Genomic DNA, 25,660 nt, shown 5'->3' on the forward strand with positions numbered 1-25,660 from the left:
AACACTCTGAATATTATTAAAACATATGGTGAGATCAAGAATTTATTACTGCATTTTCGTTAATACCAATTTGCTCAAAGGCAGTTTGAAAAACAGACCCTGACTAAAATTGCATGTGCGTTATACAGGGAAAAAAATATGACACATTTGTGATTTGAAAAGGAAAAAAAGCTGAAGGGAAAAAATTAGATATTTTTATTCATAAGAGCATTGCCATACAATTTTCAATGCTCCAGAAAAATAACCTTCTTCCATTGACACTGTGCTGAAAGAAGTGAGTAACAAAATGGTTATAAACTATCCTTCTCACAAATTCTAATCTATTATCAGACTGTTATTTCTAAAATATATTAATACACCATCTAAAAAACAGCCCTCTTATCAGAAGCTATGATACATAATAAGTCAGAAGATAAATGCACCAGTAGGAATTTATTATAATTTTTTTAATTTCTCTGGATTACAGGGCACGTAAACTCTGTAGGAGGTGCTTATTGGAGAGTAATTCTGTGATCCAGAAGACACTAGAATGTGTTCAGCCATTTAGCACCCACCCACCCCCTTTCTTTTCCCTTTCCTGGTAAATTTTCCTTTATGTTCATAAGGACAGATGCCATTGCTGTGGGAATCACTCTGGTTTAAGCCTCTTGAGAAAAACAGTAGCTAACTATATTAGTCCGTTCTCACACTGCTATAAAGAAATACCTGAGACTGGGTAATCTATAAAGAAAAGAGGTTTAGTTGGCTCACAGTTCCACTAGCTGTACAGGAAGCATTATGATGGCATCTGCTCAGCTTCTGGGGAGGCCTCAGGAAACTTACAATCATGGCGGAAGGTAAACAGGGAGTATCACCTCACGTGGCCACAGAAGGAGCCAAAGAAAGGTGAGGGGGAGGTGCCACACACTTTTGAAGGACGAGATCTAATGAGAACTCACTCACTATACAGTACCAACTGCGGGGTCGGGGGGCAGGGGTGGCAGTGGGGGTGGTTGCTAAACCATTCCTAAGAACTCTGCCCCCATGATCTAATCTCTACCTCCCACCAAGCCCCACCTCCAACACTGGGGATTACAGTTCCACATGAGATTCGGGCAGGGACACAAATCCAAGCCATATCACTAACCTTATCTAAATACTGGCCAATAGGATAAGCAAAATCATTTTTATAGCTTCCTTCAAAAAATCTTATGTATTAAAATGTTGAAATGTATAAGAATTTCATCAAAATAAGAACCTCACCAGATCTGACCCAAGGGAGAGAAGATTGTTCAATAAAAAATTACAAATGGATGAATAAATGAATCCTCTCCTTTCAAGTTCTGTGCTCCATACAACAAATCTAGATGGGTCTCATTTAGATGGGATTTAGAGACACCTTTCTTAAATACCTATCATTTTACGAATGAAGCTGTTGTCTAAAGAGTCCTCTTGGCCACTTCCTGAAAACAAATCAATTATTTGTGATAACTCTCAAATGTCCTAATAATCCCATGGAAAATGTAAATGTAATGAGGACCAAGAATTATAAGGTAAGAAGTGCTAATGTCAGATTTTTACCCACTACATAAGCCCACTCTTGTACTAGGGCAGTGACTTTCTTCTTTGGGTGAGACCTTGAAATCTGGGATTATAATTTTGAATTATAATTATAAAATGGTATTTGGCTGTAAATTATCTCCTTTTTTTTTCTGTTCCTCACAGTTGATATTATGGATTCCCATAAGGATTCATGTCTTCTATTCACTTTAATGAACAGTTGTTGGGCAACAATTCTAGAAGAGTTCCAATTCTCATCAGGAGAATGGACAAGGTGGAGAAGCAGAGAAAATGCAATGAGTAGAATGTCTAAGTCATCACTTTGGAATTGACTGAACATAAATAAAAATGAGAAAGATACGTAAAAAAGAAGGGAATGGGTAAGCAGGGTGATGTCTGGGAGAGGAGGGGCTCCATAGCCATGAGAGTCAACTCTGTAACACCCTATAGGGTTACAACACTGCCCTTCATATACTGAGGTAGCAGCAGGGAAACTTTTTAATTATTAGAAATATTGAACTTTGCCTCCCACCCCCAAACATTTTTCTCATTCAGTTCCTGTTCTTTTTTATTTCTGTAATTTTTACTGTTTCAAAAATGATCTTTTTTCTTTCGGAAGAAGCAATTCTTCAAATCCAGTTCACATAAGGGGATTTGATATGTTCAACAAGCTCCAAATACACTGTATCCAGCAATACCTACTACATGCCTACTTTGAGCTCTGAGCAACCTGCACCTCAAGCCTAGTTCTCATTGTTTTGCTTTTGGCAAATTTTCACTAAGTGCCCTTCCTCCCCAAACACACGTATATGTCTACCAGACCCTAAAGCCCTTTATGAACATGCAAACTCCTCCCTTCTGAAAACCTTTGCGTGAGTGGTCAGCAGGCTAATTCATCCATTGCAATGTGGCTTTGTGTTAGGGTTCTGTTTCCGTGCTGCCTGCAAGATAATCACAGATGTGACTGCATCTTAGAAGTTCCTGAATCTTTCAAGACAGTCTGGTTCACAAGAAAATTAAAAGGTGGAGGTCGGGCGCGGTGGCTCACGCCTGCAATCCCAGCACTTTGGGAGGCCGAGGCGGGCGGATCACCTGAGGTTGGGAGTTCGAAACCAGCCTGACCAACATGGGGAAACCCCGTCTCTGCTAAAAATACAAAATTAGCCAGGCGTGGTGGTGCATGCCTGTAATCCCAGCTACTCGGGAGGCTGAGGCAGGAGAATCGCTTGAACCCGGGAGGCAGAGGTTGCGATGAGCCGAGATCGTGCCATTGCACTCCAGCCTGGGCAACAAGAGCGAAACTCTGCCACACACACACAAACACACACACACACACACACACGGTGTAGTTTAGGAAGTAAAAAAAAAAAAAAAAAAAAAATCAGATCTCCCCTCACACCTCAGATCTGAAGGCACAAACTCTAGGGCCAGGGCGTTCGCCTACCCAACTCCACATGCACTTGCAGGTCACCTAGCACTCAGGTACCTAGCACTCAGGTACATTGTGGCTCCTTACCTCTCACGACAGCAGCAACAACGTTGATTGGAAGTTTATCACTGTGTGTTACGGGCCATGGGCCATGTGTGTTAGAATTTTATGTGAAATTAACATTTAATTCTCACGGACACCCCTGAAACAGATGCCACAGCCCCCATTTTGCCAACGAGGCAGCTGAGGTTCCCAGAGGCTCAATACCAGCACCATGAGCCGCAGCACGCAAGGCAAACACAGCCGGAGGTGAGCACATACCTGCTTCGCACCCCATGCGCCTAACCACAAGGTTCCCTCCCTCCAGGAAGGCCGTTGTCTTCCCTGGGACGACTTGCCAGCTCTGAGGCATGACAGTACGGGCCCCCAGAAGGGTGACCAGGAGGCCCTCCTCGTCCCAGCTGCCGGCGTCGCCGCCCACTGCAGGGCCCGGGCTGTGACTCGTGGGGACGGTTCCCTGCGCCCCGGCGGGGGAGGTGGGCGGGGAGGGGCGGCGGGGCGCCGGGGCGGGGCTCGGGACGGCCGGGCTGGGAGCTGGAGCCCACAGCGGGAAGCGGCCGCCGCCCGGGCCTCGCAGGGCTAGGCGAGGCGAGGGGGGGCGGGGCCGGGCGCTACGGGAAGGGGAGGCCGCGCGGACCGGGAGCCGCACCGCGCCAGCCGGGCTGCAGCGGCCGCGCACCAAGGCTGCGATGGGGCTGGAGACGGAGAAGGCGGACGTACAGCTCTTCATGGACGACGACTCCTACAGCCACCACAGCGGCCTCGAGTACGCCGACCCCGAGAAGTTCGCGGACTCGGACCAGGACCGGGATCCCCACCGGCTCAACTCGCATCTCAAGGTGAAGCCCGGGGCGGGCGGGCCCAAGTCCCCGCTGAGGCCGGGAGGTGCGGGCGCCCCTCAGCCCCGCCCTAACCCGTCCCACCATTGCTACCGGGTCGGCCCCGCAGGGTCTGAGACCCGCACCCTTCCCCGGTCCCACCCGTCACCAGGCCGCCCGCGTAGCCAGGAATTCTTAGCCAGGTTCCTGTGCGCCCACCGTGACCCTAAGAGAAGAGGCGGACGCCCTGGCACGTCCTTCCCTCCTGCTTCCCCCGCCCAAAGCGCTCCCGGTTCCCGGGGCGTCAGGTTGGCTGACAGTTCGGGGTCCCTGCGTCCTGTCTCCTCAGCTGGGCTTCGAGGATGTGATCGCAGAGCCGGTGACTACGCACTCCTTTGACAAAGTGTGGATCTGCAGCCATGCCCTCTTTGAAATCAGCAAATACGTAATGTACAAGTTCCTGACGGTGTTCCTGGCCATTCCCCTGGCCTTCATTGCGGGAATTCTCTTTGCCACCCTCAGCTGTCTGCACATCTGGTGAGACGGGGCACACCGGGTGGACCGGCTTTCTGAAACATGGGCATATTCTCCGCCACCTGCCCCCTACTCTCCTCTTATCCCAGGCCGGCGTCAGGAGGAGGAACGCGCATCAGTTCCCAAGCAGTAGGAAGAACTGGAAGGCCTTGAAAGGCAATGCGCTTCCTTTAGAATAACAGTTTGGGCTTGGAGTTTCAACAGGAGAAAGAATGTCGGTCTTTCCTGGGGTGTGATTTTCCTTGCATACATAAGGCTGGGCTGAGTGTGGAGGCGGGTACCTGGAAGCCACACTTCTTACCACAGGCTGCTCTCGGGGCCCTGTTGTGACTCGTACCTGCGGTTCTGGGCAGGACTCTTCTTTCTTTCATTGCCTTTTATTCAGTCACTGCCTGTGCTTGGGGTAAAACAAAAGTGATCTCTGAGCAGAATGCCGCTGACAGTAGAATTGGATGAGGATGTCAGACCTGGTTAAGCAGTAGTGTGGAGGGGCTGCTTCAACTTTGCCCCTGGCAGATGGCAAGGATGGGACCCAGAGGAAAGGGAGGTGTGTGCAGTTAAGGCGAGGGTCCCCCCCAGTACAAACGAATGAAAACTCCAGCTGCGGGATAATGAATGAGAAGGCCTCCAAATTACTTTTTCACTGATGAAACACAAATGGAAGTGGCATATAATTAAAGGGGAAAGAAATATGGAAGCCCACTGTATATTGATAGGATATTTTGAGTAACTCTATTCATACTCAAAATGTGTCCTAAACTGTAGAGAACTTTCTTAAGCATCTTTTAAATTTTTTATGGAAAATGTCATATTTTACCAATAAATGTTGTTGTGTTAGAAAATATCCACTTTAATCTGAGAGGAAGAATATTCAGATCATCCCCAGTATCACAACAGTTGTCACGCTAGTGCTTCAGGTTAGTCCTGGTGAAAGGTATAACCCAAGGTACCTCCGTGTCTTTCTTACACCTTTTATGATATTGCCACACCCTGATAAATACTCGGTGTTCATTGTTAGAAGTTACCAATTTATCCTTTATTTCTCTATACCACCTGAATCTTAATTTATTTAGTCAGTTAGCTAGCTAGTTAGTTCAACAAACTTTAAATTGATTGAGTGCTTAGTTTGTGCTGGGCACTGGGCCAGGATGAATGAGAGATAGGGTCTGCCTTCAGCTTACTCACAGCCTTATCAGGGCAGCTGGCTAGGTACAGAGATGGACGCTGAGAAAACACAGTCAACTGACAAAGAGGGAGGAACAGACAAGGCTTTGAAGAGTGAAAGGAGTCGAAAAAGACTTTGAAAGGATAAATGAAAATTCACCAAATACGTAAAGGATACACAAAGAACACCAATTTAATTTTATCACTAAAGGTTGTAAACAATTAAACTATGTTGAAGGTGCCAAGATTGCCAGGGAAATGAAAATGTTGCCTTAGTACATGATCAGCTTCATGAAGGTCAAATGGATAGTTATATTCTGACATTTGCACTTGAATTTTTTTTAAGATCCCTGAGTTGGCACATAAGATTTGGGATTCCCAATTAACTAAAACTAATCATCTAACCTCTATGTCAGTTTTCTCACTTTCAAAACTGTGAAAAACTGAGTGACCGCATAGCATATTGTGAAATGCTGACTATGAAGCTATTTGGAAATGTGAAGTACCATATTTATAGTCAACAAAGCTAGGCTTCCCAAAGCTTTTGTGAAAGAATTTGAAAAAAAAAAGTTTCTCATTTACTAAGTGGTGGAAAGATATAAGTAAAACTACAATTAACCAAGCAATGCCTCTCTCCAGCTGGCTCTTCTGAGAATGGGAGGTGTTTTTGTATAGTGCTTCAATTGGTGAATCATCAATGCACCTTTTTTTAGCCACATAAAATGTATTATTTAATATTATTTAACTTCAGCTTGTTTTTTTAACTATATTTATGTGGGGCATTAATATTTAACTGTAAAACATTTGTCACCAGGCAGCTGTGATTGCAAGTAGAGGAGTAATTTCAAACAAGAATGCTTAAAAGTTAGCTATGCCTTGATAAAATAGGTTTATCATTAATAGATTGCATTCCCATGACATGATAAGACCAGATCAAGGACAGACCTTACAGAATTGCAAACCCATTTGGGCAAGCTTTTTTTGTTTTGTTTTCTTTTTATATATATTTTTTAAAGCAGGGGCTTGTGTATTGTTTTTACCAAAAAGTTAGTGGTGACCAAAGCTAGGAAAATATGCAGTAGTGGAACTTTGAACCATGTCACAATATTAAAACAGGTCAGATTTTAGATCCTTTAAACAAACAATCAACAACAATAAAACACAGAAGTCTGGTGGTGTTGGATCCTAGACCAGAAGTACGGGCCATTAGGAATCAGTGAATTAGTTGGATTCCATACTACAGTCAGACAGAGATAGCTGCTGTTTGTTAAGCACAGGTTATTGGTCATAAGTGGATCATAACCAAAGAAATGTGGCTGGAGCACCCATATCCCTTATTTTTGCTGGAATGCAAAGCAAACAAATGCCCAACTGATGGAAATGCGATAGTAGCAATCTCATTTCTAGAAGACAGTTTTCATACAGTAAATTGCTATGAATGCAGTCTGCATGACTCTACAATTACTACAACACTAAATAAAAGTCTCTATCCTATGGCCTTATTATCCAAGGATATATATTATCCAAGGAATATATAACCTTACATATATTAATATATATAATATATATATATTATAAGATTTACTTAAGAAGTATTGGCCACATTCAGCCTCAACCAAATTTTGGGTCAATCAGAACTGCCTGGAGTTTCAGAAGCTAAACTATTTGTGATGTTGAGAACCCAACTTAAGTTTGATGTCGGAGGATCATTAGATTCTCTGCTCCAAAATGAGGGAACACAAGTAAACAAAAATAAAATCCAAATGAGTTAACAACACCCTATAAACTGAACTCCTCGAATGTGGGTAACTGCTTTGCTGAACAAGAAGATTCACTTTTGACATGTGCTAAATTCCCTTTTAGGACATGGAGATCTAAGGAGTCACGGAGATAGAAAATTTGTTAGCCTAAGGAAGAATAGAAAGTACATTGTATTCTGGCTGGGAGCAGTGGCTCTCGCCTGTAATCCCAGCACTTTGGGAGGCCAAGCTGGGCAGATCACTTGAGGTCAGGAGTTCAAGAACAGCCTGGCCAACATGGTGAAACTCTGTCTCTACTAAAAATACAAAAATTAGCCAAGCATAGTAGCAAGTGCCCATGATCCCAGCTACTCAGGGAGGCTGAGGCAGGAGAATCACTCGAACCCGGGAGGCGAAGGTTGCAGTGAGCCGAGATCACTTCACTGCTCTCCAGCCTGGGCAATAGAGTGAGAACCTGAAAAGAAAGAAGGAAGGGAAGGGAAGAGGAGGGGAGGGGAGAAGAAAGAGAGAAAGAAAGAGAGGGAGGGAGGGAGGGAGGGAGGGAGGAAGGAAGGAAGGGAGGGAGGGAGGGAGGGAGGAAGACAGAAAGAAAAAGAGAAAGAAGGAAAGAAAGAAAGAAAAGAAGAAAGAAAAAAGAAAAGAAAGGAAAGAAAGAAAGAAAGAGAAAGAAAAAGAAAGAAAGAGAAAGAAAGAAAGAAGGAAGGAATTCTAAGTGAAGTGGATTTGGTTAGGAAACTTTCTGATCTAAACTTCAGCCTTTTAATAGGCCAATTTGAGGTCATCTTGTTATAGTTATTTTCATTATATATTCTGCCTTCAAAATAGGTCTATTTATTATACATTATAATGACAGCATCATACAGGCATTTCAGGGGTACATAATAAATGTCAATCCTCATAGCCAGTTCTGAGAGATCTCCTGGTGTCACTTTAATTTGTAGCAACATGCCCAAGACCACATATCAAGTGAGAAATATAATAGAATAATAAGTCTAAAGTTGCCATCATTGAGGTTTCTATTCAGCTATTTATCTCTGAAACACTTAGTAATTAATTTTCTTATTATATAAAAGTGTTTCATGTATTTAGCACTTGAAATAAAACACAATTTGTGGAGACAGTCAATGTGAATAATTCTATATTCTAAAAATATATCAATCAATCAGAAAGCTGCCTAATATTTCCTTCATTTTGGGCTAAGTACAGCAGACCCTCATTTAAGTCATATTTTAATAGCAAACCAAGAAAATCAGCCTACTCCCTTATGCCCACCCAGGTAATAATAAAGCTTCCATTGAGGCTACCAGCAGTGCCTGAAAATCTCACAACTACTTTTGTGCTCAGAGGACATTACTACAACAGAGAACATTATTTAGAAAATTACATATAAAATTAACCATCCTGAGGACTATAAGGATATGCAGCTATGTTAGGAACAAGTGTATGAAAAATAACAATTTCAGGATAGACTAGTTTTCTTGTGTAAAAGTTCTAACATCATTTGCAGGGTTCTTTCAACTATACCATACAGCCCTTTTCAGTGTGTGTGATTACTGTGAAAAAATTAAAAAATATAAAACATAGTTAATAACATAAGGCATAAAAGAATGATAAATTTATGTTAGCTCAACCATTTACTAAGGGTCAAGGATGTCCTCACTGTTTAAAAAAACTTAAACGCTAGTAGGAAAGACAGAAATACAGCATCTATTTATAATACCTTTTGATACATGTGAAAATTAAGAAGTTTGTTTCAGTACTTTAGAAATACAATGAGGGAATATCCGATCTAGCCTGGTCCAGGAAAAGGGAAGAAGACTGAGGCAGCAGGAAAGGCTATCAGGAAGTAAACCCTCAGGGAAGTGTGAAGACTTAAGCAGGTTAATGTTAACTGGCAGAGACCAGGTAGATAAAGACATGGTTTTATTTATTTTTGTTTTACTGTTTCAGATAGCATGCCACCAGTAGAAAGAATATTAGTGTTTATTATCTACATGACTATATTTTTAGGCAACATATTTTTTGTGCATCTTATCACTTTAGTCCATTTGCATTACTATGAAGGAATACCTGAGACTAGGTTATTTATAAAGAAAAGAGGTTTATTTTTGCTCACAGTTCTGCGGGCTGTACAGGAAGCACAGTGCCAGCATCTACTTTAGGCAAGGACCTCAGGAAGCTTCCACTTATAGTGGAAGGAGAAGGAGGAGCAGGCACGTCACATGGCAAGAAAGGGAGCAAGAGAGAGAATGTGGAGGTCCCAGACTCTTTTAGTTAATCAGATCTCAAGCAAACTAACTGAGTGAGAACTCACGTTACCAAGAGGGTGGCAGGCACTAAGACATTCATGAGGGATCTACCCGCTGTGATCCAATTATCCCCACTCGGCCCCACCTCCAACACTGGGGACTACATTTCAAAATGAGAGTCAGGGGGACAAAAAACCCAAATCATTATCAGTGATCATTGTTCATTTATTTGTTTCAAACTCTCAACCAAATTTAAGTAAATGGGTCAGTATTTTATCTTTTCATACATGTACAAGACAGACCTTATTTGGTAACAGCAACAATCCTCACACATCTCTCTTCCTTCCTTCCAGGATTTTAATGCCTTTTGTAAAGACCTGCCTAATGGTTCTGCCTTCAGTGCAGACAATATGGAAGAGTGTGACAGATGTTATCATTGCTCCATTGTGTACGAGCGTAGGACGATGCTTCTCTTCTGTCAGCCTGCAACTGAGCCAGGATTGAATACTTGGACCCCAGGTCTGGAGATTGGGATACTGTAATACTTCTTTGTTATTATAACATAAAAGCACCACTGTTCTGTTCATTTCCTAGCTGTTCTAATTAAGAAAACTATTAAGATGAGCAACCACATTTAGAAATGTTTATTGACAGGTCTTTTCAAATAATGCTTTTCTAATTAATAGCCAAAGATTTCATATCTAACTTTGTAACCAGAATTATACAGTAAGTTGACACCACTTAGATTTAAAGGCAGACAGTTTTGCTTTAGTACAATAGTATACATTTTATAATGATGAACTTATAATGATTAAGGGACATTTCTATAAAAATACTACAATAGTTTTATGCACAACTTCCCATTAAAAATGAGATTTCTTATTTGTTTGTCTGTTTTTACTCTGGGAGTAATACTTTTTAAATTACCTTTACATATATAGTCACTGGCATACTGAGAATATACAATGATCCTGGAAATTGCAGTAACAAAAGCACACAACGATTATAGTAACTATAAGATACAATAAAACAAATAAATATGAAAGTAGATTCATGAAAATGTATTCCTTTAAAATATTGTTTTCCTACAGGCCTATTTAACAAGATGTTTCATTTTACTGTATATTTTGTAGTTAATATAAATGTTGCTCTAATCAGATTGCTTAAAAGCATTTTTATTATATTTATGTTGTTGAACTAATATATGAAATAAGTAAATGTAGCTCCCACAAGGTAAACTTCATTGGTAAGATTGCACTGTTCTGATTATGTAAGCATTTGTACATCTTCTTTGGAAATAAAAGATAAAAGAGCGATACACAAAGCTTTCTTTTCTAACTTTTCCAAGCAAAATCTAAAATGTTTTATGACATTTTTCTGGCTGTGATCTTAAAATAATTCATATCTAAATAGTATTTTGTCTAGGAGATGCTTTCTCTCTAGTAGTTAGAAATTAAATCTGTGTCAGCATTCCTATTAATGTCTCACTTTACTTTCAAGTAATATTGGTGCTATTTAACATTTTACAGTAAATGTTACTTCTGATACTTTAGTACAATTTCAACTACAGTGATTCATGTAGAGAGACAGGGGAGTTGTCAACTTGGGCTACTGAACTACATGCATAAACTAAAAACTAACAGCTACAAACTTTTAAGATTTCTCTAATATTGGTATGTAACACAGGATAAAGTTATTCTTGTCATTTTGAACTGTAGAGTCCTATTTCAGTGTGATGAATCACTGTTGCTTTGAAAAATCTCATTATTTCTGGGCCGGGCATGGTGGCTCACCCCTGTAATCCCAGCACTTTGGGAGGCCAAGGCGGGTGGATCATGAGGTCAGGAGATCAAGACCATCCTGGCCAACATGGTGATACCCCGTCTCTACTAAAAATACAAAAAAATTAGTTGGGCATGGTGGCATGCACCTGTAGTCCCAGCTACCTGGGAGGCTGAGGCAGGAGAATTGCTTGAACCTGGGAGGCAGAGGTTGCAGTGAGCCAAAATCATGCCACTGCACTCCCGCCTGGCAACAGAGCAAGAGTCTGTCTCAAAAAAAAAAAGAAAAAAAGAAAAAAAGAAAAAAGAAAAATCTCATTATTTCAAAATGATAGACATATACCAAAAACAAGTCTATAATGTGAGTAGTTACTAAAATTTACACATCTTAAAAGTGTGTAAATGCTTAAATTTCAGAATTACCATCAGAACCTCAATTGACATTCCTTTGAATACGCTAATAAGTGACAAATAAGATTAATAAGATTTTTCAAAATCGCCAGGACTGGTGAATATAAATGATGATTGAACTGGAATAATATTGGGGACCAAATCAAATGAATGATTAAATTATGAAGCTCATATCCTTTTGAAGGTAGTTGCAAAGAGACATTTCAAAACTGCCCTAGGCCATTGCAGCATCCTTAGATGGGACGCATAATCATTACCTTAAAGCATCACCACTCATTTTGACCATATAGATTTTATTATGTTAGTTTAAAAGGTCAATCAGCCTCATGACTTTATAGTTATGTCTTGTATTTAAAAACATTTTTTATACATTTGGTTATGTTGATAAACCAAAAACATTTGATTAATAAAATATCTATTTGAATAAATTATGAGCTATCCTTTCAAACAGCTATTGGCAAGTTTTAAACCCAAAATATATACACATAGTTCTGTAATAAAACTGTTTGACTTCTCAAGTAACATGACTTCCTTATTTCTGAACAGTACTGGTTACTTTCAAAATGAATTTTTATTGAGATTTTCCATTAACTATTTTTTTCAAAGACTCAAATTTTGTACCAAGTAAATCCAGGCTTTATGTACAAACATGTTGTTTGTTTTATTTGGGGCTGGGGGAGGTATATGATGAGCAGACTTCTCGGAATTCATAATAAATTTTCTAAAAGCCTACAAATGTGTGTATTGCTTTTATTACAGTAAATATGGAATCTTTCATACTTATTTTTACCTTATTAAAAACTCAAAATAGATAATAAATACATTAGTTATTGCTTATTTGGGAATGTATTTTTAAAAATTATTACATTAGTAGTTGAATTCTTTGTTTTCCAGCACTTAAAGAGGTTCCATATAAATGTTCTATCATTTGATGAATAGTATAAAATAGCCTGTTCACACACCCACCATACTTCTTCTTTTTTATAGTCTCTTCTTGCTAATCCTAAATAAACTGAAATTTGTTTCCAATTTTTAAAATAAGAAAGTAACAATATAAATCACAGGCACTTGGATACCTGTACCATGAAGCTAGACTAGAGTCCAAAATTATTTTTGGAAAGTGAGTATGTGAAGAGTAGTTGCTGATGTTGGCATACATTTTCTTGTCAGTTCATCTGGAAAAACGACCAACCTATAATAATAAAGCAGGTGCTTGGCTTTTTAAAATGTTCTTTATAGTTTTCAGGAACTTTTAAAAATTCATCTTTTTGATAGTCATCCACATCCCATTAATTTATTTTGATGCCTCTCTTGGAAAGTTGTTGGAGTGTAGTGAAAAAAGCCCTGCCCTAGAAGTCAGGCAACTGGATTCCAGTCTCAGCATTGCCGTTATTGAGGTGTATCCCTTCATGCAAAGGGTTTAATCTTGGGTTCTCAGTTTTCTTATCGTTAATGAAAGAATTGAACTAAATGGTCTCTCAGGAGCTTCCTATCTCATTGTTTTCTGTGACTTCAGCAGGATGAAAACTTGGCTATGTATATGAAAACCAACCTAGCTGTCCAGTCCAAAAATATTTTTTTAAATCAGTGAATTTTCAATCAATTACAGGATAGGTGTGCTATAAATACAATAATTAATGCATGTACTTTTCACCCTTCTATTGATTGTGAGACTGTATTTGGCCTCAATTCATTAAAACAGAGATCCTAAGATTTTTATCAATGCTAAGTCTTTATTATTATGAATTTCTGAAAAAAATTATATCTTAATTAGAATTTGCGATTGAACCTTTAACAACATGGGGTTGAACTGCTCAGTCCACTTATACTCAGATTTTTTTTCAGTAAATACAGTTAGCCTTCCGTATCCACAGGTTCCTCATCCACCATCAAACTGGATCCAAAATAGAGTATTGCAAGATGCAAAACCCTCAGACAAGGAGGGCTGACTTTTCACCTCCTTGGGTTCTGCAGGGATGACGGGATTTAAGTATGCAAGGATTTTTATATCTGCAGGGGAATTCTAGAACCAATCCCTCAAGGGTACCGAGGAATGACTCTATTTCATTTTAAGATTTTCTGTCAAAATCACTGCTATGCCCCATAATCACTGCCATCTTTCTCTTTTGCCTGGCTATTTGCCACAGCCTCCTAACTGACCTCACTTCCTGCCTTCAATATGATCACCAATCCATTTTTCTCTTAAAAAAAACGTGATTATACCAAGACTACCCTGTCATTTCCTTGCTTAAAACTATCAATTGTATGTGATTGCCCTGAGAATAATATTCCAAGTTCTTGAGCAGCATATGCAAGGCCTTCGCCATCAACCCGTTGTCATCGTTAGCAACTCTTCTGTAGCTTTACTGAACAACCCGTGCTACTCCTGTGTACCCATGCCAGCATTGTTTTTCTTCTCATGCCTGCCTCACTCTTATCTGTTTCCAAAACTCTTCCACATTAAGTGCCTCTTCTGTGTCTACATCTAAAATGTTGTACAAATTCCTATTATCACCTGTCACGTTGTAAAAGTAACCCTGTTAACTAATACCATTAGACTGCTAGTTAGGTATTTGAGAACCAAAAACATCACTTCACGTTTGCTGGGATTCTGAAATGGTGCCCAGTGCTTAATGAGTTCCATCAATATTTTCTGTATGAATGATTATGTAAATAAATAACTGGAGAAAGCTTGGGATAATTGCAGAACTGAGAGTGGGAATTGCACAAAACTTCATAATTTCTTCTTTACAAAAGGGATTTGAAATGTACTGATTCTAATAAAAATTTCCTTCCCACCATTTTCTCACTCATGAATCATTAAGTTGAGAAAACAAAAACGTATATAAACCATTTTATATTTTATCGATTGGGGTAATGCCTGCCTTTAGTCTCCATTCTCGTATCTAAAATTTACTTTTAATTCTTCAGGGGTAGAAAGCCCTAGCATTTAGAAACTTGTCTGGAAACACACTTTCATGCTTTCTAGAATGTTGCTATTTCATCTACTATTCTATTCCTCACTTTGAAATTTATAACACTGAAAGATTGTTTCTTTGGGTTTTACATTTTAGAAAACACATTGTCTCATCTGAATCCCAGGACAAATTAAATAACATAATGGAGAAATCAAACAAATAATAGCTTAGTTTTTCTAGCTTGCAACTTTATCATTTTAGAATGTTTGTTTAAGATAACAAGTGCTTACAGAATTTTTACAGGGTTACATGTTACTTTAAGAAACTTAAAAAAATAGTAAGTAGAGCTGCAAAGAAAAATTACCACAATGAATGTAATTTATCACAAATCAGGATTTGGTACACTTCTTCCCTTCAAGTTGTGTATGTGTGCAGGGAAGACAGGGGAAGAAGTTGACAGAGGAGGAGTAAAGGATACAGGTATACTAGATAGTCAGTTTATATTTTTTAGGAATAAAAATAAGTTTGGCAACTATAATTTAACCATCCCAATTTCTTCTCCCTATTCACCCCAAAATAGCAAAATGAGCAAAATAAAGCACCCCTTGCTAAATTTTTAAGACATTTCTGTGCCCACTCTCCAGTTTCTTGCTTTGGATTGTACCTGAAATGCTGCCATTGGAACTTGACATCTTGATACTTTTTTAAGTGAAACACACCCTTGAGTGGGGTAACATTTCAATCTATTAGCAGTCATCTATTTACTTTAGGTGAACAAGTGATCTGAGAAAGGAGTGTTGAAAACTACATATGGGAACCAAGCATAAGAGCTCTGAGCACAATATGAGAGCACCATACACTGATTAAAAGAGATGTCACCAAAGAGAAAGCTGTGACAAAGGGAAACAAGAGGCTCCAATCACATGGCCTTCAGCCTTCCCAGTTTCGCTTTTGGACAACCCAAATCCCTAGTGAAAGGGGCATGGAATCTGAACAGGAGTGGAGGAAATTGAAGTCAGCTAAAGACTTTTCTTTTTATCCACAAAGGAAAGTTGCTTTTGTCTTACTGAATGAATAGGACCCTAGGAGTGGGCATGAGGGCTCTGCTGGAACCATGTGCCCTAAAGACAATGCCGAAGCGTGCAACTGAAAATGAAAATGAAACTGTAACTTGTGACCATCTATCTGTGTCTTCTTTCGCCTTGCCTCTCTGTGCTGTTGACTGTTGCGGCATGTCTGCGGCAAAGAAAGACCATGCTGCAGTCAGAGAAATCAGAGGACACCACTTCAACAATTAACCAAAAATAGGACAGGGACACCTATCTGCCTGTGCTTGGACGTATTAGGTCATTCAGCTCAGCTGTGTGACTGGAGAAATCATTTTGCCTTTATAGGAAAAGGTAGGGGTGTAGGATGATGAGAGAAAGGAAGAGACATGACTCAGAGTGGGAAACAGCACGTAGCCAAGGGCAAATATTTCTCTCAGACATAAATGGATCAGGAAGAGGTGAGAGCAGCAGGTCATCTTTGGAGCATTCTTTTCTTTCCTGCCTCCCAGTCACTTGTCACCGAGCACCAACCAGTAACAAAAGGGGAGAGAAGGGCAGTATGCAGGACCTGTTTCTCTAACTGACTGGCACATCGGTTCCAGCCAACTGCTGTCTCAGCTAACTAGGGCAGTGAAACAAGGAGTCATTTGGAAAGTTTCAGGGATGCACACTCCACATCGCAGGGAGGCAAGTGGTGAGGAATAACCACCACGCTTATTTTACTGAGGAGGAAACTGGTTGAAATTCTTTATGTATTATATGGCTGGGAGACCTCTGATCTCAGTACAAACAATAACAGGAGTATTTAGATTTGTCGAGCACTTATAATCTTCTGGGCATTTACTTAATCAGTACAATAACCCTACGATGGGAATGTTACTGTCATTCCCATTTTTCAGATAATGAAACTGATGCTGTGAAGTTAAAGAATTTGCCCTAGACCACAGTCAGGATGTGAGCCAAGAGAGCCTGACATCAGAGCCCACACTCCTAATCACTGTAGAGATGATTTTCTATTTCCTGAAAGAATGTGTCCATGGCTGTTCTTATGGCTTCCAGCCAAAATCTTCTTTTTTCATTCATCCACCTTTCCTACTCTGAGAAGCACCTTTTTTTCCATTCTCCCATCAATGGAGGCAGTTTCATGTCCTCAGTTGTAAGAGCTGTCCCAAGCTAGCACCTGGGCTTCATGTAACCTCCTCACTCGGCCTCCATCTAATCCCTGAACCCCTCCCCCAGCCCTGTATGCCGCTTTTCAGGGCACACCCTTTCTTTCTCCTTAGGATCTGAGCTCTAGACCTTACACTCCAGCTAAAGTCAGAAAAATAGTTCCCAAATGCCATTATTCTCATTTTTTGTAAATTTTGTAGCATTTTATTCCTTCACACAGACTTCCCTAATATGTATCAAAAGCCCAGTGATGATTTTTCTTCTCAATGCTAAACATCCTGACATGTAAAATATTAATAATTACAGCAATAATTTCAGTTTGGACTAAACATATTGTTTTCTAGACAGAATCCTTATTTTGTATTTTCTTCATTTTGTCGGAAATTTCTTGTCAGTTTGTACATCCTTTTATGTTATCCAATTTTATTGTCAGTTACTTTGTCTTGGAGATCCCAGGGAAAACCATATATGAATTTATTTTCTCCTATTGAATAATTTGCTCATTATAAATTTTATTTATTTTATTTTTTAGAGACAGGGTCTTGTTCTATCACCCAGGCTGGAGTGCAGTAGTGCAATCTCCTAGGTTCAAGTGATCCTCCCTCTTCAGCCTCCCCAGTTTCTAGGACTTCAGGTGCATACCATCGCACCCAGTTTCTACATATTTTCTCACAAAGTGACAGTGGTAAACTGATCAGTATCAAAGTCAAGAATTAGATTGAAAAAATGGGAAATCATGACACTAGAATACATAAAAAGAAGCATAAGATGCAACCAACCCTTTCTCTCCAGTTATCTGTAGCCTTTTTGGGGCAGACATAGGAATAGCACACATTATTCAGGGTTAGGTAACATAAACAAGATGAAAAGATCCCCACAGAATTTCTTGTCTATTCAATCAATTTCACATGTTGTATGTGCAGGGGCCACGCAGGGGATGGGATGGGTGGAGTGAGGGGCATGATGAAAGCACTGGAAATAAAACACCAAAAAATAATTTGTTATCATATAGAATAACCAAGTGAGCAATCAACTGAATCATTAATATACATTTTATTTAGACGAGGAAAATCCTATGATTATTACAATTTTTAAAATTAGATTGCTAAAAAAGTATCAGCATTGTTGGTATTATTTGTCCTGGAAGTGATTGAAGGGTCCTAGGAAAAAAAATAACTGTGTAAACTGATTTTTATTAAAACTATTTTTTTGGCCGGGCACGGTGGCTCAAGCCTGTAATCCCAGCACTTTGGGAGGCCGAGGTGGGCGGATCACGAGGTCAGGAGATCGAGACCTTCCTGGCCAAAACCGTGAAACCCCGTCTGTACTAAAAATACAAAAAGAAATTAGCCGGGCGTGGTGGCAGGCGCCTGTAGTCCCAGCTACTCGGAAGGCTGAGGCAGGAGAATGGCGTGAACCCAGGAGGCGGAGCTTGCAGTGAGCCAAGATCGCGCCACTGCACTCCAGCCTGGGTGACAGAGCGAGACTCCGTCTCAAAAAAAAAAAAAAAAAAAACAAAGACTATTTTTTTTTTTTTCTGAGGAAAAGAAATCCTATGTGGGGTTATCCTAAGCAACAATCTTATTTGACTAGGCACACACAAACACAAAAAACTGTGACCATCAGTATGTTCAAACAAGGGAAAATGGCAAATAGAAGATTGTAAAACAATTTTCCTGGAAGAACTTTGGCAATGATAAGCATTAATCTGGGGCAGATCAGATGTAGACCAGGCTCTATGATGTGTGATGAGCTAGGGATCTATTGATTTCCATGATTTTACGGTTCTTAGAGTTGAAGAAATATTCAGAATTGGAAAGGAAAATCCCTGAAGTCTGCAATGAAGTCTGCAGGGCATGGGACTCTCCAAAATGCAGGATAGGTTTGGGCTACTTTGAAGCAGCCCCTAAGAAATTGTTCTTTTTATGAAGTTAATAGATTGGTGCCACCTCAACTCTTGCTGTTCACCAATACCTTTTTGGTGTGGTCAATGAGATAACTTAATACAGCTCAAGCCCTTTCATAGCAAAAATAAATAAAAAATAATAATAATCCTGTCTACTGCCCAGTTTGTAATTCTTGATTTCACATTCCAAGAAGCCTTCAGTTTATAGAAATAGAAAGAACTGCCAGTTCCCTGCAAGCACCTTGGCCAACTTAGCCTGTAGGGTTCCCCCTTAAATGATGTATCCTTCAATTTGCTTACAAATATTTCTTTAATAGTATGTTCCTTCATTTTATTGAGTTGGGATTCCCTGTAAGTCATCCAGCCTGCAGTGCTGCTGCTCTTCCCATGATATAAAGTCTCCTTTTGTGTGTATTTGTGGAATTTTGTTCTCCATTCAGGGTTCTTACATAGGAGAGTGATATTTGCTGGCATAACTTCTGCATTTTTAAACATCTTCAGGTTTAAAGTTTTTATTTCCCCTACATTACTGTTTCTCAAAATAAAATGAGCATAGGAATCACCAGGGGATCTTGTTAAGATGCCAATTCAAATTCAGTAAATCTGGGATTGGTCCTGGGATTCTGCATTTCTAACAAGCTCCCTGGATGCTCAGGCTGCAAGTCCCTAGATCAAACTTTGAGTAGCAAGGATCTATCTAGTAAGTAGCTTGAGTAAGACACGGAAAGAGATGAAGATAAAGTAGCTACAGACAGACAAGAGAAGAAACTAACAGAGAGTTCATTTGTTTGGCTCTATGAGAAGATTCTACTGGCTGTCCAAAAACTAAATCCCCCACACCTGCTTTAAAACACATTCACATTCCCTCTGAAGTTAGCTGAGTTGCTTGAAGGCAAAACCAGCAGTGCAGAAATAAACCCCATTCTCCAGTATGCACAAAAGCTGATGTTGCAATTAAAGATTTGCCCTGGAATTAGTGAAAAAACAAACTCATCATATGATTACAAGAAAGTAAATTTCTGTATGAAGAGCAGATCACTTATGTGTATGTTCACCACATGAACCTACATCCACACACACACACACACACACACACACACATAGAAACACACACACCCACAGAGTCTTTAAAGACGGACTTTATTTTATGCTGTAAACCTAGACTTTGGGAGGCTGAAGTGGAGGGATTGCCTGAGTCCAGGAGTTCGAAACCAGCCTGGCAAAAATCCTGTCTCTACCAAAAATATAAAAATTAGCTGGGTCTGGTGGCACACACCTGTAGTCCCAGCTACTAGGGAGGCTGAGGATCACCTGAGCCTGGGAGGTGGAGGCTGCAGTCAGCCGTGAAGCATGCCACTGTACTCCAGCCTGGGCAAGAGAACGAGACTCTGTCTCAAAAAAAAAATATATGAAAAATCAACTTGCATACATATATATAATGTGTGTGTATATACAAGCACATATACATATATTATATATATATATATATACTTTTAAAAGAGTAAAATATTTTACTCTTTTAAAGCATCATTGCCTCAAAAGGAGTGGTTCAGAGATAAATTTTCCCCAGGTAAAACCAACTCCTGATAAGTAGTTTATTTACTAGGGAAAGGGCCAAAAGGAAAGAGAGTTTCCTTTGTTAAATAATGGAGCCCTGACTTAAAGCCAGATGGGTTACAACACAAAGGGCTTCTGTGGAGAACTACTCCCAAATATTTACATTAACTTAAGAAAAACATGGAAGTTTAATATCTCCTTATAATTTGGGGTAGTATTAAGGGGCTAAAGGCATTTTTATTCTTTATCATTTCATTATAATCAAAAAGGATTTTTAATTACTTACTTGTTAATAATAAAATCTATGTTTCCCTAATATGCTATTTAAAAGCTCACTAGTATGCTATAAAATGGTGCATTTCTCAGATATAAGCTATATTATGTTAAATATATATTAAATCTAGGTACTAGTTATATCATATTGCATTATTTTGTTGTCCTACTAGGTTTGAGAGTTAGTCATACTTTGGATAACATTTATGGAGCTTCCATACTTCTAAAAGGTGGTCATAATTTTGTTTTGCTTGAATGGGAGAAAACATAATCGTTGTATATTTAAATATTTTACATCTCTCAACTAGATGAAAAGTAATAATTTGTTTTACCACTTGACCATAATTTTTCTGAAAATTGCTAAGCTCAAGCTTTATAGTAAATATTTTCAGTCTTGAGTTAGGTAGGGCTGTAATTTTTACTTTTATTATTGATATAAATCTATCCAGATGAAAAATGAGCCAAATATTTATTTACCTCTCATTTCGTGCTTACTGAATACATTATCCCTTGATTATATTAGTGTTTGGCTCCGAGTTTAGACTAAGACTTCCTATCTTTAGAGAATGGTAGCCATTATTTTGGTAGGGTTATTATAATCCACTCAATTTCATGGCAGTTAGTTTGATTTCTTATATGTCATCATAATGAGGTGATGAATTGAAACCTGAAATTTTTCATGGACTTTAAGCACAAATGAAAATAACTCAATGAAATTTGGTTTGCTTATCACTTCACATTTTCTCAATATTTGAACTTACCTTTATACTGATAAATCATATTGTCTTTATGAGTTTGTTTTTAATGGAATTAAAAAGAAAATATTATCTCAAAGAACAAAATTTTGCAATAAGATAGAGTAAGATAAAGAAAGTGTACATTTTGAGAAAACCTACCTTTAAAGGCAAAATTTTTCTACATTTTCAAAAACAAGCACAAGTTTCATCAGATTTTCTAAATCCAGAATAATAATGATGACACTTTGTCCTCTGTAGCACAAATACCAATGAGACTATTTCAGGAAGTCTCTGCAACTGGAATTTTGTTTCAGAAATCTGGTTTCAGGCAGCATCTCTCCAGATCTTCATTAAAACAGTGAAGAAGTAGGAGGAAGATGCCAGCACTTTCAGCAGCCCTACTGAATGTTGGCCTGGGGCAAGCCCCTATGCTCTAACAACTCTGCTTTAAAAGGCAGGGAGGAGAAAAATGAATGTTTTTGTTTTTGAGATGGAGTTTTGCTCTTGTTGCCCAGGCTGGAGTGCAATGGCATGTGGTCTCGTCTCACTGCAACCACCACCTCCTGGGTTCAAGTGATTCTCCTGCCTCAGCCTCCCAAGTACCTGGGATTACAGGAGCCCGCCACCACACCGGGCTAATTTTTGTATTTTTAGTAGACATGAGTTTCACCGTGTTGGCCAGGCTGACCTCAGGTGATCTGCTTGCCTTGGCCTCCCAAAGTGCTGGGATTACAGGCATGAGCTACTGTGCCCAGCCAAAAATTAATGTTTTAAAGAGTGATTTTTGTCAGAAATTACTGAAATATAAAAGCTGGCACTCTAAAGGCTAGTTTCAGCTACCTAAAATCAATCATTCTTTTAGGTTTCATCAGCCAAGAATTCTGAGGAAAGGTGGTGGCCTAATTATTATTTCAGTAAGATAAATTATCAACTGTTTTGAAAATCACATTCTCTTTTAAGGCAAGAGAATGTATCTGTGACCACCCCGAGCCCCTCTCTCTGAGGCCCTCTGTCAGGCATCATATTTGAGAATCTTCATCTAGAAGTTTGCATTTGATTTGTGATTAAGGGATTTTTGTTTTTGTTACCAACTGTTTAATGGAAATTTTAATATACTGTATAAAGCTTTCTGAGAAAGAAGTAATAAATGGCAAAAATAGTAAGTATCAAAAAGTTAGATTAAAACTTATAAAATTGAAAGCCAAAACAAAAAACCTCTAATGACCACACATATGTGATATAGATTTGAGTTCTTCATACATCCCTTGCCATGGCTTCATCATTGGTGGCAATTCCATCCCCATCCCTTGATGTTGGGCTAAGTCACTTGACTTGCCTTGGCCAAGGGAATAAGGCAGAAGTGACAATGTGCCTCTCCAAGTCTGGGCTTTTAGAAGCCTTGTATGTTTTTTCTTGTCCTCTTATGCCACTGCTGCTTCATGGAGCATGGGAAGAATGTGCCCCAATCATCTTGCTAGTGCAAGGAGGAGGAGAGATGTACCAAGCGGTGAGAGGTGGATCTGCTCCAGGCACCTCCCCTAGATCAGCCAAGCCCCAGCCAACCCAACCCATAGCTCTATGATAAAAATGGTGGTTGTTTAGAGCACTGAGTTTTGTAGTAGTTTACTTAAGCAGTATTATTGCAGCAATAATTGATTGGTACACTCTAAAATGTAGTCTTAAAATAAATATGTGTCAGATATATGATGACAAAAACATGTTGGGTCACTTCATCTTTCACTTTCAATTGGCTGTTGTGATATCCTTTAGACAGGGCCATAAAGCCACATCTGCACTACTGGCCTAGCAGTCACAATATGGCTATTCCTCTAGCAATTTTAGCTAGGACACACAAAAAAATTGCACTTTCAACATAGGATTTGCTACTCAAAAGCTTTCTTAAGAATTAACCTTATTTCCACTGTATTAAATAACCAATCAGATTTATTTTGTATTGAATAACAAAATATTTTACAAATAAAATTGTAAAGTGACATAGGAAATGCTAAAGACTAAACATATTCTTTCACTATCAATATTTGGAGTTAATTAGGTTAAAAAGCCTTAATCAAGGCTACCAATGAAATGTAAATATTGGCAGAAGTTCTGAAATTACATATGTGAAATTTGAGTTCGAGGGTTTGTTGTTAACTCAGAAACAGCAGCTCTTAGAGATGTTACCAGCAAAAATCTTGGCAAGATTTGGTTGAAGGGAAAGAGGGGAAGATTAGGGAAGGATGACACTTCCGAAGTTTCACTAATGATCTTTTCTGGTTGCCCCTGGAACTTTCCCCTACCCCATCTACCCTTGTGGAAGAATTTTTATAGCATAAAAGCAGAGATAAGGCTTTCCTTAATTCCAAAATCCTGGTCCTGGGGGATTCATGGCATGAAAATATTGGTGGGCGATGTAAGAACAAGGCTTCCTGCTCAAGGGAGAAGAAATTGAGAAAAGATGCAAAGTAGTTTTTGACAGGGGTGTTTCTAGGGTGGGCCCTGATAAATTAAGAGGATCGGAAAGCAAAGATGTCTGTGCCTTCTGTTTCAAGATAGGGCACATGGAGGCAGTGACACCCTGGAGCTTCTCTGCACCATGACAGAGCACAGGACTCATTCTGTTCTCTACATCGCACTCAACATAGGAGGTTCCACTATGCTGTATCAGACCTACCCATCCAGATTCATCAGATTTGCTTGCAGAGAGCCCCAAGAAAGGAACAGAAATAGCAAGAAAGTGTCTCTGGCCCAAAGAGGCACATTCAATGAGCTTGAAGGACAGTGCAGCACTTGTTCTCCTGAATGGATCAATAACCAAGGACGGACAGAGTGACATACTCATCAGCAGATGCCAAGATGCACAGCTAAGGAAGAAACCCTCCTCCACAGACACACCCAAGATTCCTGGTCACATCATAAGCCCCTAGAATTTAGGACAAAATGGAAGAAACTAGAAACTGACTGAAATTAAGTTTCTGCCACCTGAAGGAATGGGGCTTTGTAAAAGAAATTAAGACCAGTTACAGAAAAAGAGAAAGTTACAATTCACATGGGACTTTGACAGTTTCCATAATGTTTTCTGTTTAAAAAGCTCTGGAGTAAATAAGGCAAAATGATACTTAATCAAGCTGGGTGGCAGGTGTCCATCATACAATTTGCCATATTTCAGATAATTGAACTATTTTACAATAAAAATACTTTGAAATAAAATATGTTTATTTGAATCTTAAATTTGTGGACTAAAATGTGTTCCCTCAACCTTAGCAACTATTGTGCTTTAGGCAGTATTCTCAGAGCTTCAAATACATCACCTCACTAAAGTTTACAAACTCCTATTGGGTAGATATCAGTAGTATTTTTCATTTTGTAAATAAAGTGAAGTTAATTTAAATAAATAGTAGGAAAAGAAAACTCTTAGCCATCTTGATCAGAAAGATTTTTAAAACACAAAATCGCTGTTTGCTTGCTTTTTTTTTGAAGAAAATAAGTGGGAAAAAATTATTTAAAATACTCAAAGTGGAAAAGCCCAATCCACAGAAGCTTCAAGTTAGAACAAGGTGAGGAAGGGGTCAGGTGATGTGGCAAGTCTTCATCCAGAAAGCCATTTCCTTCCACATATGAAATGGGCAACTGTAGGAAGGAGGCCTCAATGGGATTCAGCAGATGCAATGAATAGCAGAAGGCCTATGGGGTGGTGATGCTGATAAACAGGGTAAATACTGAGCTGAACTCAGAGATCATTAAAAGATGACATGTTTATGCACTTACACACAGATGGTTAAAATGTTGGCATGTTTATACACTTGCATGTAAATAGTCACCGCTCTGAAATGTACGTTGCCCTTCCCCTGAGGACCCTTAACTTCCTAATGATTCAGCAACTAACCAGCAGTACTCTAATGCACAGCTCCAGTGCCACGGCTGAAGTTTGAAATGATTGGTTGGTGGCTCTGCCATACTGATTATAATATCATACCTGGTGATAACTCCTATTATAACCCAAGCTGGAATTCCTTCTCTGAACGCATTGCCAGAGGCACATTTGGGAAGTCTCGGACTGCTGAGTGTTGGGAAATGTTGGAAAGATGCCTGCTTCTTAACACTATTGATATCATTGAGAGTGGTCAAACCTTTAGATTCCAAATCTTATAGTGGTAGTTAAAAAAAAGTAGCCAAGAATGTGAAAAGAACCCATGGTGGTAGGGATGGGAAGAGGAAGTTGTACCAGAGCAAAGCGACATAGAGAAGGAGATGAGAGAACATGAAAAGCAACGAATTTCACAATTTTGCCATAAGCTGACCCTGACT

At 39.4% G+C, this 25,660-nt stretch overlaps 1 protein-coding gene and 1 long non-coding RNA gene across 8 annotated transcripts in view, besides 6 other annotated features; one reads left to right on the top strand and one right to left on the bottom strand.

The window, feature by feature from the left end:
- The window catches only part of CAV2-DT (CAV2 divergent transcript), an 83,411-nt gene extending 79,959 nt beyond the window's left edge, over positions 1–3,452 (bottom strand). For all 4 annotated transcript variants that reach the window (NR_188012.1, NR_188010.1, NR_188009.1 and 1 more), the window contains exon 1: positions 3,290–3,452. This is a non-coding gene — a long non-coding RNA (CAV2 divergent transcript). The remainder of the gene's footprint in view (positions 1–3,289) is intronic.
- Positions 2,689–3,190: an enhancer, noted in NCBI's record as "H3K4me1 hESC enhancer chr7:116138807-116139308 (GRCh37/hg19 assembly coordinates)". NCBI's record gives its function as "activates a minimal SCP1, AML or CMV promoter by ChIP-STARR-seq in naive H9 embryonic stem cells {active_cell/tissue: H9 hESC(naive)}" and the evidence as "EXISTENCE:reporter gene assay evidence [ECO:0000049][PMID:30033119]".
- Positions 3,237–3,376: an enhancer, noted in NCBI's record as "active region_26532". NCBI's record gives its function as "activates an Ori minimal core promoter by ATAC-STARR-seq in GM12878 lymphoblastoid cells {active_cell/tissue: GM12878}" and the evidence as "EXISTENCE:reporter gene assay evidence [ECO:0000049][PMID:35858748]".
- Positions 3,557–3,646: a silencer, noted in NCBI's record as "silent region_18556". NCBI's record gives its function as "represses an Ori minimal core promoter by ATAC-STARR-seq in GM12878 lymphoblastoid cells {active_cell/tissue: GM12878}" and the evidence as "EXISTENCE:reporter gene assay evidence [ECO:0000049][PMID:35858748]".
- CAV2 (caveolin 2) lies at positions 3,674–12,477 on the top strand. 4 transcript variants are annotated; one of them, NM_001233.5, is made up of 3 exons: positions 3,674–3,867; positions 4,196–4,383; positions 9,907–12,477. In NM_001233.5, exons 1-3 carry the CDS (start codon positions 3,718–3,720, stop codon positions 10,055–10,057), a joined length of 489 nt encoding a protein of 162 aa, NP_001224.1. In that variant the 5' UTR covers positions 3,674–3,717; the 3' UTR covers positions 10,058–12,477. The 4 variants fall into 3 exon arrangements, with proteins under 4 accessions (NP_001224.1, NP_001193676.1, NP_937855.1 ...); NM_198212.3 differs by lacking the exon at positions 4,196–4,383; NM_001206748.2 differs by lacking the exon at positions 3,674–3,867 and having other exon boundaries at positions 3,982–4,383.
- Positions 5,431–5,725: a silencer, noted in NCBI's record as "tiled region #4219; K562 Repressive DNase matched - State 5:Enh". NCBI's record gives its function as "represses a minimal TATA promoter and a strong SV40 promoter by Sharpr-MPRA in K562 cells {active_cell/tissue: K562}" and the evidence as "EXISTENCE:reporter gene assay evidence [ECO:0000049][PMID:27701403]".
- Positions 15,740–16,119: an enhancer, noted in NCBI's record as "active region_26533". NCBI's record gives its function as "activates an Ori minimal core promoter by ATAC-STARR-seq in GM12878 lymphoblastoid cells {active_cell/tissue: GM12878}" and the evidence as "EXISTENCE:reporter gene assay evidence [ECO:0000049][PMID:35858748]".
- Positions 16,130–16,179: an enhancer, noted in NCBI's record as "active region_26534". NCBI's record gives its function as "activates an Ori minimal core promoter by ATAC-STARR-seq in GM12878 lymphoblastoid cells {active_cell/tissue: GM12878}" and the evidence as "EXISTENCE:reporter gene assay evidence [ECO:0000049][PMID:35858748]".

The sequence above is a fragment of the Homo sapiens genome, chromosome 7, assembly GCF_000001405.40.
Source record: "Homo sapiens chromosome 7, GRCh38.p14 Primary Assembly".
Taxonomy (NCBI): domain Eukaryota; kingdom Metazoa; phylum Chordata; class Mammalia; order Primates; family Hominidae; genus Homo; species Homo sapiens.